At 41.2% G+C, this 13,129-nt stretch overlaps 1 annotated feature.

Annotated features, from left to right (window-relative positions):
• Positions 12,526-12,575: a silencer, noted in NCBI's record as "silent region_18016". NCBI's record gives its function as "represses an Ori minimal core promoter by ATAC-STARR-seq in GM12878 lymphoblastoid cells {active_cell/tissue: GM12878}" and the evidence as "EXISTENCE:reporter gene assay evidence [ECO:0000049][PMID:35858748]".

Below are 13,129 nucleotides of genomic sequence, written 5' to 3'. Positions count from 1 at the left end.
GTTGGATTCCTAGGTATTTTATTCTCTTTGAAGCAATTGTGAATGGGAGTTCACTCATGATTTGGCTCTCTGTTTGTTTGTTATTGGTGTATAAGAATGCTTGTGATTTTTGTACATTGATTTTGTATCCTGAGACTTTGCTGAAGTTGCTTATCACCTTAAGGAGATTTTGGGCTGAGACGATGGGGTTTTCTAGATATACAATCATGTCATCTGCAAACAGGGACAATTGGACTTCCTCTTTTCCTAATTGAATACCCTTTATTTCCTTCTCCTGCCTAATTGCCCTGGCCAGAACTTCCAACACTATGTTGAATAGGAGTGGTGAGAGAGGGCATCCCTGTCTTGTGCCAGTTTTCAAAGGGAATGCTTCCAGTTTCTGCCCATTCAGTATGATATTGGCTGTGGGTTTGTCATAGATAGCTCTTATTATTTTGAGATACGTCCCATCAATACCTAATTTATTGAGAGTTTTTAGCATGAAGCGTTGTTGAATTTTGTCAAAGGCCTTTTCTGCATCTATTGAGATAATCATGTGGTTTTTGTCTTTGGTTCTGTTTATATGCTGGATTACATTTATTGATTTGCATATATTGAACCAGTCTTGCATCCCAGGGATGAAGCCCACTTGATCATGGTGGATAAGCTTTTTGATGTGCTGCTGGATTCATTTTGCCAGTATTTTATTGAGGATTTTTGCATCAATATTCATCAAGGATATTGGTCTAAAATTCTCTTTTTTGGTTGTGTCTCTGCCCGGCTTTGGTATCAGGATGATGCTGGCCTCATAAAATGAGTTAGGGAGGATTCCCTCTTTTTCTATTGATTGGAATAGTTTCAGAAGGAATGGTACCAGTTCCTCCTTGTACCTCTGGTAGAATTCGGCTGTGAATCCATCTGGTCCTGGACTCTTTTTAGTTGGTAAGCTATTGATTATTGCCACAACTTCAGAGCCTGTTATTGGTCTATTCAGAGATTCAACTTCTTCCTGGTTTAGTCTTGGGAGGGTGTATGTGTCGAGCAATTTATCCATTCTTCTAGATTTTCTAGTTTATTTGCAAGGAAGTGTTTGTAGTATTCTCTGATGGTAGTTTGTATTTCTGTGGGATCGGTGGTAATATCCCTTTTGTCATTTTTTATTGCATCTATTTGATTCTTCTCTCTTTTCTTCTTTATTAGCCTTGCTAGCGGTCTATCAATTCTGTTGATCCTTTCAAAAAACCAGCTCCTGGATTCATTAATTTTTTGAAGGGTTTTTTGTGTCTCTATTTCCTTGAGTTCTGCTCTGATTTTAGTCATTTCTTGCCTTCTGCTAACTTTTGAATGTGTTTGCTCTTGCTCCTCTAGTTCTTTTAATTGTGATGTTAGGGTGTCAATTTTGGATCTTTCCTGCTTTCTCTTGTGGGCATTTAGTGCTATAAATTTTCCTGTACGCACGGCTTTGAATGTGTCCCAGAGATTCTGGTATGTTGTGTCTTTGTTCTCGTTGGTTTCAAAGAACATCTTTATTTCTGCCTTCATTTCGTTACGTACCCAGTAGTCATTCAGGAGCAGGTTGTTCAGTTTCCATGTAGTTGAGCAGTTTTGAGTGAGTTTCTTAATCCTGAGTTCTAGTTTGATTGCACTGTGGTCTGAGAGACAGTTTGTTATAATTTCTGTTCTTTTACATTTGCTGAGGAGAGCTTTACTTCCAAGTATGTGGTCAATTTTGGAATAGGTGTGGTGTGGTGCTGAAAAAAATGTATATTCTGTTGATTTGGGGTGGAGAGTTCTGTAGATGTCTGTTAGGTCCTCTTGGTGCGAAGCTGAGTTCAATTCCTGAGTATCCTTGTTAACTTTCTGTCTCGTTGATCTGTCCAATGTTGACAGTGGGGTGTTAAAGTCTCCCATTATTATTGTGTGGGAGTCTAAGTCTCTTTGTAGGTCACTCAGGACTTGCTTTATGAATCTGGGTCCTCCTGTATTGGGTGCATATATATTTAGGATAGTTAGCTCTTCTTGCTGCATTGATACCTTTGCCATTATGTAATGGCCTTCTTTGTCTCTTCATCTTTGTTGGTTTAAAGTCTGTTTTATCAGAGACTAGGATTGCAACCCCTGCCTTTTTTTTGTTTTCCATTTGCTTGGCAGATCTTCCTCCATCCTTTTATTCTGAGCCTATGTGTGTCTCTGCACGTGAGATGGGTTTCCTGAATACAGCACACTGATGGGTCTTGACTCTTTATCCAATTTGCCCGTCTGTGTCTTTTAATTGGAGCATTTAGTCCATTTACATTTAAAGTTAATATTGTTATGTGTGAATTTGATCCTGTCATTATGATGTTAGCTGGTTATTTTGCTCGTTAGTTGATGCAGTTTCTTCCTAGCCTCGATGGTCTTTACAATTTGGCATGATTTTGCAGCGGCTGGTACTGGTTGTTCCTTTCCATGTTTAGTGCTTCCTTCAGGAGCTCTTTTAGGGCAGGCCTGGTGGTGACAAAATCTCTCAGCGTTTGCTTGTCTGTAAAGTATTTTATTTCTCCTTCACTTATGAAGCTTAGTTTGGCTGGATATGAAATTCTGGGTTGAAAATTCTTTTCTTTAAGAATGTTGAATATTGGCCCCCACTCTCTTCTGGCTTGTAGAGTTTCTGCCGAGAGATCTGCTGTTAGTCTGATGGGCTTCCCTTTGTGGGTAACCTGACCTTTCTCTCTGGCTGCCCTTAATATTTTTTCCTTCATTTCAACCTTGGTGAATCTGACAATTATGTTTCTTGGAGTTGCTCTTCTCGAGGAGTATCTTTGTGGCGTTCTCTGTATTTCCTGAATCTGAATGTTGGCCTGCCTTGCTAGATAGGGGAAGTTCTCTTGGATAATATCCTGCAGAGTGTTTTCCAACTTGGTTCCATTCTCCCCGTCACTTTCAGGTACACCAGTCTGACGTAGATTTGGTCTTTTCACATAGTCCCATATTTCTTGGAGGCTTTGTTCGTTTCTTTTTATTCTTTTTTCTCTAAACTTCCCTTCTCGCTTCATTTCATTCATTTCATCTTCCATCACTGATATCCTTTCTTCCTGTTGATCACATCGGCTCCTGAGGCTTCTGCATTCTTCACATAGTTCTCGAGCCTTGGCTTTCAGCTACATCAGCTCCTTTGAGCACTTCTCTGTATTGGTTATTCTAGTTATACATTCGTCTAAATTTTTTTCAAAGTTTTTAACTTCTTTGCCTTTGGTTTGAATTTCCTCCTGTAGCTCGGAGTAGTTTGATCGTCTGAAGCCTTCTTCTCTCAACTCGTCAAAGTCATTCTCCGTCCAGCTTTGTTCCGTTGCTGGTGAGGAACTGCATTCCTTTGGAGGAGGAGAGGCGCTCTGCTTTTTAGAGTTTCCAGTTTTTCTGCTCTGTTTTTTCCCCATCTTTGTGGTTTTATCTACTTTTGGTCTTTGATGATGGTGATGTACAGATGGGTTTTTGGTGTGGATGTCCTTTCTGTTTCTTAGTTTTCCTTCTAATAGACAGGACCCTCAGCTACAGGTCTGTTGGAGTTTGCTAGAGGTCCACTCCAGACGCTGTTTGCCTGGGTATCAGCAGCGGTGGCTGCAGATCAGCAGATTATCGTGAACCGCAAATGCTGCTGTCTGATCATTCCTCTGGAAGTTTTGTCTCAGAGGAGTACCCGGCCGTGTGAGGTGTCAGTCTGCCCCTACTCGGGCGTGTCTCCCAGTTAGGCTGCTCGGGGGGTCAGGGGTTAGCGACCCACTTGAGGAGGCAGTCTGCCCGTTCTCAGATCTTCAGCTGTGTGCTGGGAGAACAACTGCTCTCTTCAAAGCTGTCAGACAGGGACATTTAAGTCTGCAGAGGTTATTGCTGTCTTTTTGTTTGTCTGTGCCCTGCCCCCAGAGGTGGAGCCTACAGAGGCAGGCAGGCCTCCTTGAGCTGTGGTGGGCTCCACCCAGTTCGAGCTACCCGGCTGCTTTGTTTACCTAAGCAAGCCTGGGCAATGGCGGGCGCCCCTCCCCCAGCCTCACTGCCACCTTGCAGTTTGATCTCAGACTGCTGTGCTAGCAATCAGTGAGACTCTGTGGGCGTAGGACCCTCCAAGCCAGGTGCGGGATATAATCTCCTGGTGCACCGTTTTTTAAGCCCGTCAGAAAAGTGCAGTATTAGGGTGGGAGTGACCCGATTTTCCAGGTGTCGTCTGTCACCACTTTCTTTGACTAGGAAAGGGAACTCCCTAGCCCCTTGTGCTTCGCAAGTGAGGCAATGCCTCGCCCTGCTTTGGCTCACGCACGGTGCGCTGCACCCACTGTCCTGAGCCCACTGTCTGGCACTCCCTAGTGAGATGAACCCGGTACCTCAGATGGAAATGCAGAAATCACCCGTCTTCTGTGTCACTCACACTGGGAGCTGTAGAACAGAGTTGTTCCTATTTGGCCATCTTGGCTCGAACCCCCTTCTCTCCTCTTTTATTTGTTACTTTAGCTAGCGGTTTATCAATTTTGTTTATCTTTTCAAAGAACTAACTTTTGTTTTGTTGATGCTTTGTGACGTTTTTAGTCTCATTTCATTTAGTTCTGCTCTGATCTCTATTACTTCTTTTCTTCTGCTAATTTTGGATTTGGTTTGTTCTTGCTTTTCTACTTCCTTAATATGCACTGTTATATTGTTAGTTTGTAATCTTTCTACCTTTTCAGTGTAGGCATTTATTGCTATAAATGTCCCTCTTAGCACTGCTTTTGCTATGTCCCACAGGTTTTGGTATGTTATGTTTCCATTTTCATTTGTTTCAAGAAAATTTTTAATGTCCATACTAATATCTTCATTGAACCAGTGATCATTCAGGGGCAAGTTGTTTAATTTCCACTTATTTGGACAGTTTCCAAAGTTCCTTTTTGTGTTAATTTCTAGTTTTATTCCATTGTGGTCCAAGAAAATAACTGATATGATTTTGATATTTTTAAATTTGTTGACACTTGTTTTGTGGACTATGTATCACATGATCTGTCCTACAGATTATTCCATGTGCTGATGAAAAGAATGTATATTCTGCAGTTGTTGAATAAAATATTCTGTAAGTGTCTATTAGGACCATTTTGTCTAAAGTTCAGTTTGAACCCAATATTTCTTTGTTGGTTTTCTGTGTTGATGATCTATCTAATGCTAAGAATGGGGTATTGGAGGCTCCCATTGTTACTGTATTGCAGTCTATCTGTCTCTTTAGATTTAGTAATATTTGCTTTATGATAATGGGTACTCTAGTGTTGTATGCATATATTTAGAATTGTTATGGCCTCCTGCTAGATTGATCCCTTTGTCATTACATAATGACCTTATTGGTCCTTTTTTTACTGTTCTTGATTTAAAGACCTTTTTATCTGATATAACTATAGCTACTCCTGCCTGGTTTTGCTTTCCATTTGTGTGGAATATATTTTTCTATCCCTTTACTTTTAGTCTATATGTGTCTTTACTATTAAGGTTAGTTTCTTGTAAGCAGCATATAGTCAGATGATGAGGTTTTTTTTGTTTTTTTTTTTAATTTTATCCATTCAGCCATTCTGTGTCTTTTAAGTGGAGAATTTATTTACATTAGAGGTTATTATTGATATGTGAGGCTGTTCTTTCCTGTCTTATTATTGTTTTCTGGTTGTTTCATATATTATTTGTTCCTTTCCTTTTTCTTACTATTGTCATTGTGGTTTAGTCGATTTCTGTAGAGGCATCATTTGAGTCCTTTCTTGTCCTCCTTTGTGTAATTGCTTTACTAGTGAGTTTTATACTTTCATGTGTTTTCATGATGGTAAATGTACTTCACTTCCAGGTTTAGGAATCCTTTGTGCATTTCTTGTAGGACTGCTCTAGTGGTAATGAATTCATTCCATACTTGTTGTCTAGGAAGGATTTTATTTCTCCTTCATTTGAGAAGGATAATTTTGCTTGGCTGGCAGTTTCTTTCTTTTAGCACTTTGAATATACCATGCCATTCTCTTCTGTCCTGTAAGGTTTATACTGAGAAATCCAAAGTTAGTCAAATTGATTTTCCTTTATAGGTAAGTAGATACTTTTCTCTTGCTGTTTTGTAGAATTTGGTCTTTGTCTTTGACTTTGAACAGTGACTAAGATGTGCCATGGAGAAGACCTTTTTGTATTATATCTGCCTGGAATACTTAGCCTTCTGTATCTTGATGTCTAAATCTCTTGTTAGACTTGAGAAGTTTTCTTCTGTTATTTCATTAAATGGGTCTTCTACTTCTTTGTCTCTTCAATCTCAGTAATACCAATCATTAAAATATTCAATCAGTTTATGTTGTTCCAAATGTGATTAGTGTTTTGCTGACTTTTTTTATTCTTTTTAAAAAAAGTTTTGTCTGACTGGATTACTTCAAAAAACTTTCAAAAGGTGTGGGACCCAAGACTTATATTCAAGTTCTGCGATTCCTTCTTCTGCCTGATCTACTTTATTGCTGAAGATTTCAATGTATTTTGTATTTTTTTCAATCAATTCTTCCGTTCCAGAATTTTTATTTTGGTTCTTTTTAAAAATATGTATCTCTTTTGTAAATTTCTCATTCATACCCTGAATTGTTTTCCTAATTTATTTGTATTGTTTTTCAGAATTCCCTTATATCTCACTGAGCTTCTTTAAAATCAATATTTTGAATTCTTTATCAGGGACTTTGAAAACTTGTTTTGATTCAAAATCAAATTACTGGAGAATTATTGTGTTCCTTTGGAAGTGTCATATGTCTTTGCTTCTTCATATGTCTTGTGCCCTTATGTTAATATCTGTGCATATGGTGTAATAGTTGTTTCTTCCTATTTTTGAATTTGTTTGGCAGGGCATAACTTTTTCCTGAAGATATATCTATGGCATCAGTTATACAGGGCACACTGACTTTGATTCTTCATGCATGCAGTAGTGTAGTCTCTGTATGATTTCTTTGGCTCTAAACATTGTCAGTGGTGTCTGTGATATCCTCAGTAGGTTAGGGCATGGTTATTAGTGGAGGCTGTAGTGAAGTTTTGCTGATGACTGAAATGCCAGGTGGGCCAATCTTCAATCTCTGGTGGTGGTAGTGGTGGGATGAGTATGCCTATCTTTGTGCCCCAGGGTAGTGTACACTGGCACCTGTGTTTACAGTTGCTGGCAGGCCAGGTCTTGAGCTTTCAGGTGGCTTGCTTGGATGTCAGCAGTGGCAGTGGTGGACTGGGTAGGTGGGCAGGTGCTTAGGCCTCTGTGCAGCCAGTGTGGGATGAGGAATGGCCACAGCAGTGGCGGGACAATTTTCTGGGTCCTGAATGGTGTCTATTGATGTTGGCAGAGGCTGCGATGAGCTGAGTAGACCAGTCCCCAGGTCCTCAGGTGGTGCTTGCAAGTAGGTGCAAGCTGAGGTGATAGCAGCCAAGAGTTTAGTCCCAACCTTAGGCCCCTAGGAGAAGTGCCCAGGTGCCCAAAGTTGTGGATGGGGCTGGCAATCCCCAGGACCCGGGGCTATATGCTCTGTCTGAGAGGGGATAAAACTGGGCTGGACAGGCTTGTGCTCAGGCCCCCCAATGGTGGCAGCAGGCACCAGTCATCGTTGGCAGGGGTGGAGCAATCCTCGGGCCCTAGGCAGAGTGCTCAGGTGAGGGGTGGTAGCAGCTGCACTGAAGCCCTGCCACTGGGAGGATGGGGCTGCCCTTGGTGGCCACAGCCTGGGCCACTGGGTAGGGAACATGTGTCTCTTTCACACACTAGTCCCAGAAGGGCTTGCCCCCACCCTAGTGGTGGTACTTCATGCCTAGCTCATACATCAACCCCAGCTGCAGGAGCTTCCACCAAGCTGACAACCAAATTCCAGGGGCAACTCACACTCTGCTCGCTTCCTGGCACCAGCAGCTGCAGCCCATACCTCACTCATTTCTTAGCCCTGCCTATGGTAGAACTCCCAGCATGCTCCCCAGCCTCAGGAACAACAGCTCACGTTTCTGTAATGCCTCAGTTCTGGCACCATTGGGCCCCAGAACAGTGTGCAGTCTGCCAAAGACTAGGTTTAAAAATGGCATCTTGCTGTATTATCTGTTAAGGTCTCAGAAAAGGTGTGGGACCCAGCAGTGGGAACTGGAGAAGTTACATCCCATGGTCTTCCAGCAGCTCACTGGGTTCGTTTCAGGGGTTGGGAGGGTCATGTGGTTCTCCTATGGCCAGAACTGTACAGTTCCATGGTGGGACTGTGGGCTACTGGAAGAGTCTCTCACTCACCCTTTCCCCACATTACGAAGTTGCTCTAAACCAACAAATGTTTAGGGGGATTAAATTGCCCATTCACATTTCAGTTACATTCATGGAAAATATACAAATTAGGGAACTGAAGACTCTACTCCATGGGCTCCATTTTCTTAATAAGTAAATTAAGGTAACTGGATTAGATACGGGATGACAAGCCCTTCTGGTTTAAACAAAAGTTTAAAACCTTCACAGACCTTATATTCTAGCAAAGAACACAGATAGTAAGCAAATAATCACAAATGTGGTGAGTATTTACACAAGACTTATAAGTATATAACACATGGGCTTAACTTGGCGGGGGGGTATGTAGTTACAGTTGAACAATACTCGCCTTTGAAAGAGATATTTTAAATATTCGTGCCAAGACCTGAAGTAGCTGGGAAAGAGGGGGGTCAGGGAAAAGGAGTTGGAAGAGTCCATTCCCAGCAGAAGGGGCAGTGTGTGTGAAGCCCCAGGGTGGGAGAGAGTCTATGTTAGATCCAGAGGGCAGCAGGTAGAGCAAGAGGGCTAGGCAGGGCTGGATTATATAAGGTCTTGTTGCTTATGGCAAAAATATAGGGTATTACCCTATAGGCAATTGGAAGCCTCTGCAGGGATTAAACAGGGGAATGTCATTAAAAGATCATCTGCCTGCAGAAGAGAGAGAGAATGGATGGGAAGAGGGTGACACTGAGATCAGCAGACCAGTTGGGTGGTTAAGGTGATAATCCAGGAGTAAGACCAGGGTCACAGCAATGGGATGCAGAGAAGCAGGGAGATTCAAGAAAGATATATGTAAAGAAGAATGAACAAGACTTGGTGAGATTGACAGGCTATAGCAGGTAAAGAGAACAGAGGGGCCAAGGAAGACTTGACCTTTCTTCTTTGTGTAACACAGTAGATGTTGATATTTACTGAGATCAGATACTGGGAGAAGAAAACAGACTTGAAGGAACATACGGTGAACTCTATTTTGGCCAGATTTTGGCCAGATTTGTAAGGCATCCATACAGAGAAGCCAAATAGATAGTTGGATAGATAGGCCTAGATCTCAGAATAAAGGTCTAGGCTCTGTTGTTTACTAAATGGCAAGATTAATAGATTCTAGAAGTGCGTAAGAGCCAATATTATTCCAACAGTCAGCAAATTGACCTTTAGTTCAAGGTGGGAGATGCCATAAGCTCTCCCAGAAGCAAAGAGACTTAAGGGCAGTGACAGGTAATTCCATGTGCCTAATGCCAACTAGACAATGATCTAACCTTGGTTCTCTAACAGTAGAACATGCTCATCTAAACCAAAGACTCAAGAGTCATTGGAGAATTGAATTATGGCAGCTTACATTTATTAAACCAATACTACATAACAAGCCCTACATATTACCTTATTTATTACTGTGGGGATAATCATTGTAAATAGTTGTTGATATAGCCCTGAGTTCATATTATCTATCTTATCTTTTTGTTGGGTTGTTATCTGTTATCTCACTCAATCCTCAAAACAACTCTATGAGGTAGGCATTATCATCATCCCCATTTTATACATGAAGAAACTAAGTTTCAAAATTATGAATGACTAACCCAAGACACTTGACAAGGGAGTGCAAATGCCATGATGCAAACCCAGACCTGTCTGACTCCATAGCTCTCCTCCTAATCTCTAGGCAACAAGCTTCCAGAAAGTTAACCTAGCAGATGGATTTTTTCTTTCCCTGAGGTTTAAGAAACAAGCTCCGAAGCAAAACAACTAGTCATTCTGCTAAGCCTCCAAGTGTCCTGTCCATACTGTCATCTCCTATTAAGAAATACAGTCAGGAAAGATGCTACTAGCAGGAAAAGGTCTACTTTACAGTTACAGAATGAAATTGCCAAAAATCCAATTTTTCCAGCCCACTACAGCATATGGTCCTAGGGAGCCCAGGGCCAAAAACAAGTCGGTATTGCTTATTTTTCAAACCTCCCCACACCTAGAAGTATTGCAGGCCATCAGACAACAGTCACGTATCTCAATGTAGCAGTGGGAGAAGTCACTTCCTCGGTATGTGACCTTGGACAGGAGACTTAATTTGAACTTTAGTTTTCTAATGTGTTCAATGGGGCTAATGGTGGTGTTACTTTATTTCAATAATGGCTAGCCATACCATAGGGCTTAATACAGACGAGGCACTGCTCTAAACACATTGCATATATTAATTATTTCATTTTTCCCTAACCCCACAGGATACACTGAGTATTATTATTATTAATCTATTATTATCCCCACTTTACAGATGAGTGAACGAGGGAAGGAAGTTCAGTAATTTGCCTAAGTTTGCTAGCAGTCAAGTTGCTTAACAGAACTAAGACTCGACCCCAAGCAATCTGAGAATGACTCGCCACCAAACTACACAGCTTCTTCATGCTGTGAGGATTAAATGAGATGATGTATGTAAAATATTCTAGCACATACTATATGCTTTATTAACACTATCCCATTATTTTTATTATAATTATTATGATTTAAAAACTGAAGCACAGGATGGTATTTAAGACTGAGGCATAACAGCACAATTTCAGAGTAGACTTCCAACCTTTCTTAAGTTGCGTGAAAAAAAGAAACATTATTTACAAGCAAGACTCTTAAAACCCATCCTGGAGGAATGGTACATTTTTAAGCATCCCATTTAGAAAAGCAGTTCAGTAAATGCCAAGGGAGCTGAATGGCACTGTGGACCAACTGCTGAGGGAATTCCCCAAACAACTATCTGGAACACTGTCTTCAGGGGATCATCAATGCACTCATCCTTGCAGTCTCTGCCTCCCTACCTGACAAACTTGAGAAATTGTCACACTCTTTTTTTGAAGGAGAAGAAAATAAAACTAATTAGAAAAGCCTTCTATTGCAATGTGAAGCCTACTTTTAATCCTAAACTTAGAAGAGGTAAGGCAGGACTGTGACTGTGTGTAGAGGCTTTTATGTTCTTCCCACAGCAGGCTCCTCCTAAAAATGTAATGATATCCCCTGAGAGTAGTGTCCTCTGATAACCACATTTAAAGCAGACTCCTCAACTTATCCTCCTTTATTCCATCGTATAACACAATCCCTAATTACATCATTTAACTTCTGTTTCTCATCTATTTATCCCAACACACACCTCTATAGAAAAGCAAGTCCCCTAGTCTGTTCAGTCTGCAAGGGTTCTGTCTTGTTCACCAACATATCCCCAGTACCTAATACATTTCAGTAAAGGAATAGAAATTCCAATCTCTATGAACATCTTTGAAAAACATTTAAAGACGTCCAAATGTACAACCCACAGCAATCACTACAAAAATACCCTTTCTTTTCCTACTCTCAAGCACAGTGTTGTCCAATAGAAATACACCACTAGGTACCAATGTAATTTTAAATTTTTGGTAGCCACATTTTATTATTTATTTATTTATTTATTTATTTATTTATTTATTTATTTTGAGACAGGGTCTCACTCTGTTACCCAGGCTGGAGTGCAGTGGTGTGGTCCCAGCTCACTGCAACCTTGACCTTGACCTGCCAGGTTCAAGTGATCCTCTTACCTCAGCCTCCCAAGTAGCTGGGACTACAGGAACATACCACCACGCCCAGCTAATTTTAGTAATTTTTGTAGAGATGGGGTTTTGCCATGTTGCCCAGGCTGGTTTTGAACTCCTGGGCTCAAGCAATCCACCCACCTCAGCCTCCCAAAGTGCTGGGATTATAGGTGTGAGCCACCATGCCTGGCTATAGCCACATTTTAAAAAATAAAAGTAGAGTGACATCAGCAAGATGCCTGGCATCTCTACTCCCTCCCACAAGAAAGGACCAAGGCAATGAAAACACAGCTAAGATTTGACTGGCATGTCTAAGGGAGAGTGCTGGAGTGCAGCAGTAGAGTAGAGGCACACTTGTAGTGATTGGAAGTCCAGGAGAGCAACATGGAGGCACGCAGCCTCTGTAGCCCCATCTCCTCCACTCAGATCAGATCAGCCTGGAGATAGGAGGGACATTTGTGGGGAAAAGGTAAGCAGAAGATCCCTACCAGCTCTCATTGTCACTGCAAACACCTATAGTCCTTACTACAGGAGAATCCCACAGTCCTCACAAGCCCTGAGTCCAGTTTGGAGAACTTTCAGGAATTCACATGGCTGCATGGTCCTGGATTAGGAGCACAGGGTGTGTACTCCCTATCCACCCCTGACCGTGAACCAAGCTGCATATGCCCTCAACCTGAGAAATAGCTCAGTGAGCCCTCTCCTGGCAAAGCTGCAACACTGTCACCACAAACTCTGTCACCCTAGGCCTCTGAGAAACTCACAAATGCCACTAGTATGGATTACAGCTGAGGAAACTATACGGAGACTACAACACTGCATCCATCTAGAAGCAAGGCCAACACAACCCAGTGAAATGACAGGCCAACACCCATTCCAACGAATAAGGACTTCCCCACAAAACCTACTCCAGAAATTTGGAAGAAGCAAATATCCAGCTACATAAAAATCCATGTAGGAACACAATCATGAAAAAGCAAAGAAACATGTCACTTCCAAAGGAAAAAATTATTCTCAAGTAACAGACCCCAATCATAAGGAAATATATAAAACGCCAGAAAAATAATTCCAAATAATAATCTTAAGGGAACTCAGTAATAAGAATAATAAAAATAATTCCAAATAATAATCTTAAGGGAACTTTCTTACAAGAGAAAACAGAAAGACAATTCAATGATATTGGGAGGAAATTATTATCTGAATCAGAAATTCAACAAAGAGATAGATATCATTTTTAAAAAGCAGAAATTCTAGAGCTGACGAATTCAAGGAATGAAATTTAAAAACACAATCAAGAGCTTCAAGAAATGAAAAAACACAATCTAGTATAGAACAGAATACACCAAGCAGAAGAATG

The sequence above is a fragment of the Homo sapiens genome, chromosome 7 (assembly GCF_000001405.40).
Source record: "Homo sapiens chromosome 7, GRCh38.p14 Primary Assembly".
NCBI classification, from domain to species: domain Eukaryota; kingdom Metazoa; phylum Chordata; class Mammalia; order Primates; family Hominidae; genus Homo; species Homo sapiens.
This window is presented reverse-complemented; position numbering and strand designations above follow the sequence as displayed.